This window comes from Homo sapiens, chromosome 7, assembly GCF_000001405.40.
Source record: "Homo sapiens chromosome 7, GRCh38.p14 Primary Assembly".
NCBI classification, from domain to species: Eukaryota; Metazoa; Chordata; class Mammalia; order Primates; family Hominidae; genus Homo; species Homo sapiens.
Genome location: NC_000007.14, coordinates 42,838,310 through 42,845,072, shown reverse-complemented (window position 1 = coordinate 42,845,072; position 6,763 = coordinate 42,838,310). Strand labels below are relative to the sequence as shown.

At 38.3% G+C, this 6,763-nt stretch overlaps 1 annotated feature.

Annotated features, from left to right (window-relative positions):
* Positions 1,680-1,759: a silencer, noted in NCBI's record as "silent region_18120". NCBI's record gives its function as "represses an Ori minimal core promoter by ATAC-STARR-seq in GM12878 lymphoblastoid cells {active_cell/tissue: GM12878}" and the evidence as "EXISTENCE:reporter gene assay evidence [ECO:0000049][PMID:35858748]".

Below are 6,763 nucleotides of genomic sequence, written 5' to 3'. Positions count from 1 at the left end.
GGGCCTCAGATGCTTCCAAAGGAGTGGGAAGAAACTAGCATTAACCAGGGTATAATGAAGAACAGTTGCTTGAGAAGAAAGTATTTAATATGCTCTATTCTTTTTTAGAACAGACCCACAATCCCATATCTCAAATCTTTGCAGCCAGATGTAGTTTGGATTTCAGAATATTTTGAATTTCAGGAAAAGGCATATAACATGTGTTATATACTCCCAATGGTATTTGGGGCAGCATCTTCTAAAAATATAAATATTTCAGCAGTGAAACACAAATAGTTGCATCAGGTGAGATATGTAAATAATATGAATAGTCTCTCATCAGTCCAGTTCAGGTTTTGCAGCCACATGAATTTGTTTTAATGTAGCTGTGAGGGCTTTGTGAGCCTCAGAATTTCAGATAAGAGGACTGTGGACCAGTGTTACTTTTTATGTGGTATTTTAATCTGGACATATTTCTGATCAGTAAAGAGCTGAACAATTAATATTTTCAAACATTTGCATGAAAAAAGCCCCCAAACTTTGTGATTCTAGCCTGTTTATCTCATTCCCACTCTATAACTGGTTCCCAAACTCTTCTGTGCATCAAATCGTCTGGAGAGTTGGCTAACTGTGTGTATTTCTGGGCTTCCTACCCAGGAATCTACCTTTAAAGAACAGAGTGGATGACTCTGATGCAGGTTGAACTGGACCCCATAAAGGGGCACCACTGCCATTTGTTGCTCTGAGGTGCAACCTACAGACCTGCAGACCCTGGAGCAAAAGTTCATCTTGCAGAGGTGAGTCCATGTGTGTGGCAGTAGATATCCTTTGCATATACTGAACCCCATTTACACCCTTGCCTTAAAAGATGCCTGGAGGAGCTTGTCCTGGGGCGTGCTGGGAAGGTTAGCTAGGCAGGGACCCAAGAACCAGGAGCATAAGGTGACAGCACAGATGCAGAAAGAGGAGAAAAGAGAGTTAACAGTAGATTCTTGCTATGTGCCGGATGCTTTTCAGAGGCCCAGTCATTGAATAATCACAACAGGGGTACAACTGGGTGGGGTGTGAGGGTGAGGTTATTCCATTTTTTTCTGGAGAAACAAGATCAGAGAGATGAAGTCACATTGTATGGAGGTGAGATTCTATTATTTTTGGATCCATCACTCTACCCTTGCTTCCATCCTTCCTCTCTTCCCTTCCAACTGCAATCACAGACATTTGTGCTAATTATCCTGCTCAGTTCATTCACATCGTTGGTCTATGCCAGGCCCTTTTCTTGTTTTGTTTTATTTAATTAATTATTTTTCTCTTCTTTTACCCCAACCTCACTTGCATTTTCCTTCCTTCCATATCAACTGCGCTTCATGTATCTTTGTGAACTCTACTGTGTCTCTGCAAAAGTTGACACTGTAAGACTGTAAACACATATGAAGTATCGAAACATTTTAGAAATACTGTTATTGAAGATTTTTGGGTGGTTGTTCTCTTCCAAAGAAAAATAATTTCTTGAGAAATTAATTTATTATAATTATTAGGATGGGAGGTTTGGATTAACCTTTAAGAGGGTATCAGACTTAGCAAAATGAATTCTCAAAAAAATCTCTGGCTACAGCTGTCTTTAGGACTGAGGGGATAAGGAGGCACCCAGCTCGTGGAGCGAGAGGCACGGCTTGTTTTAACCCACACTGACCGCACAGGGGAGCTTTAAGCCTTTTCTGTACAGCCCAGTCGCCCCTCTCATATTAATGGCGCTGCGGCAAGGACAACAGTCACGTTTTAGCCAAATGTACGCCCCTTTTCCGACAAGACCACCAAATCTAGTCATCTGAGGTGGCACTAAAAATTTGTGACAGTTTAAATTTAAGTAGAAGAACATTGCAAGATTCTCTTGTATGGCTTGTGTGGAACAGGTCGTTTTTGCAGCTAAAGAAAGGATTAGATTTGCAAATAAGCCCCAGGCTGCATTTGCTCTATTTTATTTTATTAAGAAAATTTAAAAAATTATTATTTTAAAAAAGAGATGGGCTCTCGCTATGTTGACCAAGCTGGTCTTGAGCTCCTGGTCTCAAGAGGTCTTCCTGCCTCGGCTTCTCAAAGTGTTTGGGATTACAGGCGTGAGCCACCGCTTCTGGTCAGATCTTATAATATCACTAAATATAATTTGTCCCCAAGTTTGGAAGAGAAAGGAGGCTATTTCATAGGAGTCTTTGAGTTTATTAAAAAACTGTTATATTATTGAAAATTTCAAATATATGTAGAAAAAACAGTACAGTGGACCCGATGTATCATTACTTATTCATACATACCATACACAATTACAACCAAGAATGTCTGGGAAGTATTTTGTCAACTCTACCCTCTTCAATGTTATTTTGAACTAAATCTCAGACATCACATCGGAATACTTTGATATGTGCCTCTCAAAGATAAGATGACCACAATATTATTGTCACACTCACATAATTAATTCCTTAGCATCGACTATCCAGTGTTCCCAGATTTCTGATTATCAGGTAAATTTTTTTTTAAAATTTCATTTTCTTTCTTTCTCATCTGCTTTGTGATGGTAAGGTAAATTTTTCAATAGTTTGTTTTAATCATAATCCAAATATAGCCTAAACATTGTGATTTATTGACATTTCTCCTATGTCTCTCATGATTCATGTGTTATTGTTGTTGAAGAAGCTGAATCTTTTGTCCTGGAGAATTTCTCACAATTTTGATTTTGTTGTTCACATGTGGTGGTTGTTTTACATGTTTTCCTGTCTCTTATAAATTGGGTGTTTATAGTTAGAGGCTTGGATAGATGCCATCTCTCTCTCTCTCTTTCTCTCTCTCATCTATCATCTATTGTTTATAATCTATCTCTCTATTTAACCTATACTTGTTTCTCTTTTTATCATGTTGTCAGCCATTATGATCATTCATACTGAACAGTTGTGAAGTGGTGATATTCTAATTCTTTTTATTAACTGGAACACTTCTATAAAGAGACTTTGTTTTATCAACTACTTGGCTGTCTTAGGTTCAGATATTATAGGAGAGACAGGATAAATGTTTGAGACTTTCCCTGTATTTACTAGTTTTCTCAACAATATGCTGATTACCTAGCGATATGGTTTGGTTGTGTCCCTACTCAAATCTCATTTTGAATTGTAGCTCCCATAATTCCCATGTGTTGTGAGAGGGACTGGGTGGGAGATAATTGAATCATGGGGGTGGTTTCCCCCATACCGTTCTTGTAGTAGTGAATAAGTCTCACGAGCTCTGATGGTTTTATAAGGGGAAATCCCTTTTGCTTGGTTCTCATTCTTCTCCTGCCTGCTGCCATGTAAGATGTGACTTGCTCCTCCTTGCCTTTTGCTATGATTGTGAGGCCTCCCCAGCCATGTGGAACTGTGAGTTAATTAAACTTCTTTTTCTTTATAAATTACCCAGTCTCAGGTATGTCTTTATCAGCAGCGTGAGAACAGACTAATATACCTAGCATCTGCCAAAGGTGACCAATAATGTTTTTGTTGTGGTATCATTATGAATTCATGGATTTAAGCATATTTGTGTTTCAACCCTTTGCAGTTACTGTGCTATCTTTGCCCAATGGGGGTTTACTCAGATCGACTTTTGGGTACTTTGGTCATGATCCCGGTACTCACCAAGAGCTTTGTTGCAGTTTGGTATGGCAAGATATGTCAGGCTCATCTTGGACTTTTTTTTGGCCCAGCCCTGGAATCAGTCATTTCTTCTGGTTCCCTTGGAGAGAAATGATATTGCAAGGCCATAAACTGGGTATATCCCAGACATTTTATAAAGAGAGGCTACTTTCCAGCTCCTGAGGATGAGGAGGAGAAAGGTACCAGGCACTATCAACCAGCTTATAGATCTGCTGGGAAGATCAAGCAGCAGTGTGCCCTGTGCACTGAAATTGTTCTACACTTTGTTTCTTTGTTCAGCCCAGCTGGTGCTGCTGAGACGGTACCTTCACAAGGGCTTAAGGACTGCCACCCATCAGCTCTCCCAGAATGCTGGTTGCTTGACGTGGTGGAAAGATCAGGGGCATTGGGCCCACTCACACCTAAGTCTACTTTGTAGCTGGCCACTTACTAGCCCTGTGCCATGGCCAAGTTATTCAAGTTTCCCAAGCCTCCATCTTTTAATCTGTAAAATGGAATTAATAACAGCTACCTCAGACATTTTTTAGGCAATTAACATAGATGATCTTTTCTAGCTTAATGAATTTAACCTGTAAAAAACCCAGCACAGTACTTGCACACAGTACGTATATTAGGCAGTTAATACAAATGATCACCGTATACTCCAAGATAGCAAATTGGGGATGATCATTTAACCCTAATTAGTAATTAGCTAATCTATTCCCAGTTGAATCAAACATCATGCCAGCATGAAAATGAACAATGAGGAAGATGTGTGGAAAAGGAAGCCAGTGAGCTCTTTGCTGGCCTGATGTTATCTATTAGATTAAGGTCTAAAACTTTTTCTGTCTTTAGATAAATTTTCTAGGGTAAGTCCCTTTCCACTTCCCATTTCCCAACAAATTAATGGCATACATAATAATCCTTCAACTTATAAATTCAGATCAGGGGTCTACTTTATAAGCATTAAATTAAAAAGGCCATGCCCAGATAGAAGGGCACCAGAAATCACCAGGTCTCCTAGAGTCTCTGATGTGATGCTGCCTTTGTTTCTGTTTGGTTATCTGGGAAGTACCTTGTTCAACCCTCTGGCTTTACCTCTCGAGCATGGCCCAGTGACAGTGACTCCTTGCTTTCCAAAGTCCTGTCCTTTGACCCTGTTCCTTGTATGCGTAAAAGTCTCCACAAGTAAGACTAAACTTGTTGCCCATGTTACTCTCTCTATATAGAGTCAAGTCTGCCTTCAGCACTTTTACGCCTTTTTGGGTGGGGTGAGGGGACAAATACTACAAAGAAAGAAATGAATCCAAGTAGATGTATTCCTGTGTGTCATATCATTAATATACAGATAATACATTCTGAGGCTCACTCTGATAGAATGAGTTCCTTCAGCTGCTGGGTCCCTGTAGTGCTGTGTACACACATTTAGGCACACTTACCCTGTTTCACTGTGTTCTTTAGTTGACTAAATGATGAGAGCTACTTTCTTCTCTTTTTTAAAATATCAAGTGCCTAGGGTGGTGGATGTTACATAAAAGTTTAAAGATACATCTTTAATGGTGGGTCACTGAAGTCTGTTAAGATCTTTCAAAAATAGTTTTTTCATTATAAGTAACGTTCAAATTATACAAAATTTAGAAAATAGTGACAAGAAAAAAGATGAATGATAATCTCATCATCCATACAACTCCTCTGAATGTTTTGCTCTTTTTAAAATACATAATGAAATTTTAAAAGCATAGTTTACACACTTTCTATATTGTATTTTTTAACCTAACATGATGTCATAAGTATTTATTATGTCATTACAAAGTTATTATATTCATATTTGAATAATTGCACTATTTTCACTATTTTGGATATTTAGATTGTTTTTTGTTTTTCTCATGTAATAATAGCACTATAATAAATATGTGAGTATAATTTTAATCAGTTTTGAATTATTTCTCTATGAAAGAGTTATGTGGGATTGCTACATAAGAGGATGTGCATAATCTTTTAGATTTTTATGAATATTGTCTAACTACTCAAAAATTTTATATCATCTTATAATCTATCACATATATGTTTGAATGTGTTACATCACACCCTGATAAGCTGTTGGTGTTTTTTTGATGCTTTTCATAATAACAATAAAAAATGGAATTGTGTTTGATTATTGTTAAGGGTAAGCATTTTTTTCATATTTTTGGTTACAGTTGTGTTTCTTCAGGTTAAAGGATAATGGATCTTGACTAGATCTTAGCAATCATCTGCTCCAGTGTCCTTCAGATGTTTCTCATATACAGTTAGCATTTTTCAAATGCAATCTTATACACCCCAATCTCTAAAACAGATACAAATACAAGTGCTCTTGATGGAATGGGAGTGGAAGGTCCCATAAACCCCACTACTCAACTGTCCCTCAACCCCTGAGACTGCTCTAAGGAATACTAGGGCTCCAGGAAATAGAGTTTGAAAACCACCCATTTGCCTCTGCCATGGTCTTACTCTTGGCAGATTTTCCTGCAGAATCCCTGCACAGGTAATTTAGTGATGTGTAGAGCCACAGTCTGTGTGTGATCTCCGGAGGAGCAAAGTGAGGGCCGCCAAGAAGTACCGACTACAAAATCTCTTTGGGGTATAGACAAGGAGTGGTGTGCATATGTGTGTGGGTGGCAGTGCTGGGAATATTTCTGTTGGGGAGATGTAATCTCTCTCTAATAAATAGCCTTTCACATTTTTAAATAGTACACTTAATGCTCCGAACTAAACATCTTTCTTACAAAGAGGAACAATAAGGGGCGAAATGACTCATATTACAAAAGGACCATAGGGTCTCTATAAGTGGCATCTTTTCAGGAGCTTGTTTGCAGATCATTAAACACTTAATAGAGGGAGAAAGAAATAATCTATGTGTTCCAGGCCACTGGTGATTAAGTAGCAATCAGATATAAAACAAAGCAGATCTGAAGTTATACTGATTTGTGTCTCATGTTGAAATTCTGCATTTTACCAGCCAGGGAGCAAAAGTGTGATACCATGCAATTCACTATCCAAGTACTTGTCAATTAAAAGTTGTCTCTCCAATTCATACACACCTGCTGGTGTTGCCTATGCAGTACATTTTCAATGTGCATATTGGCATAATGGAG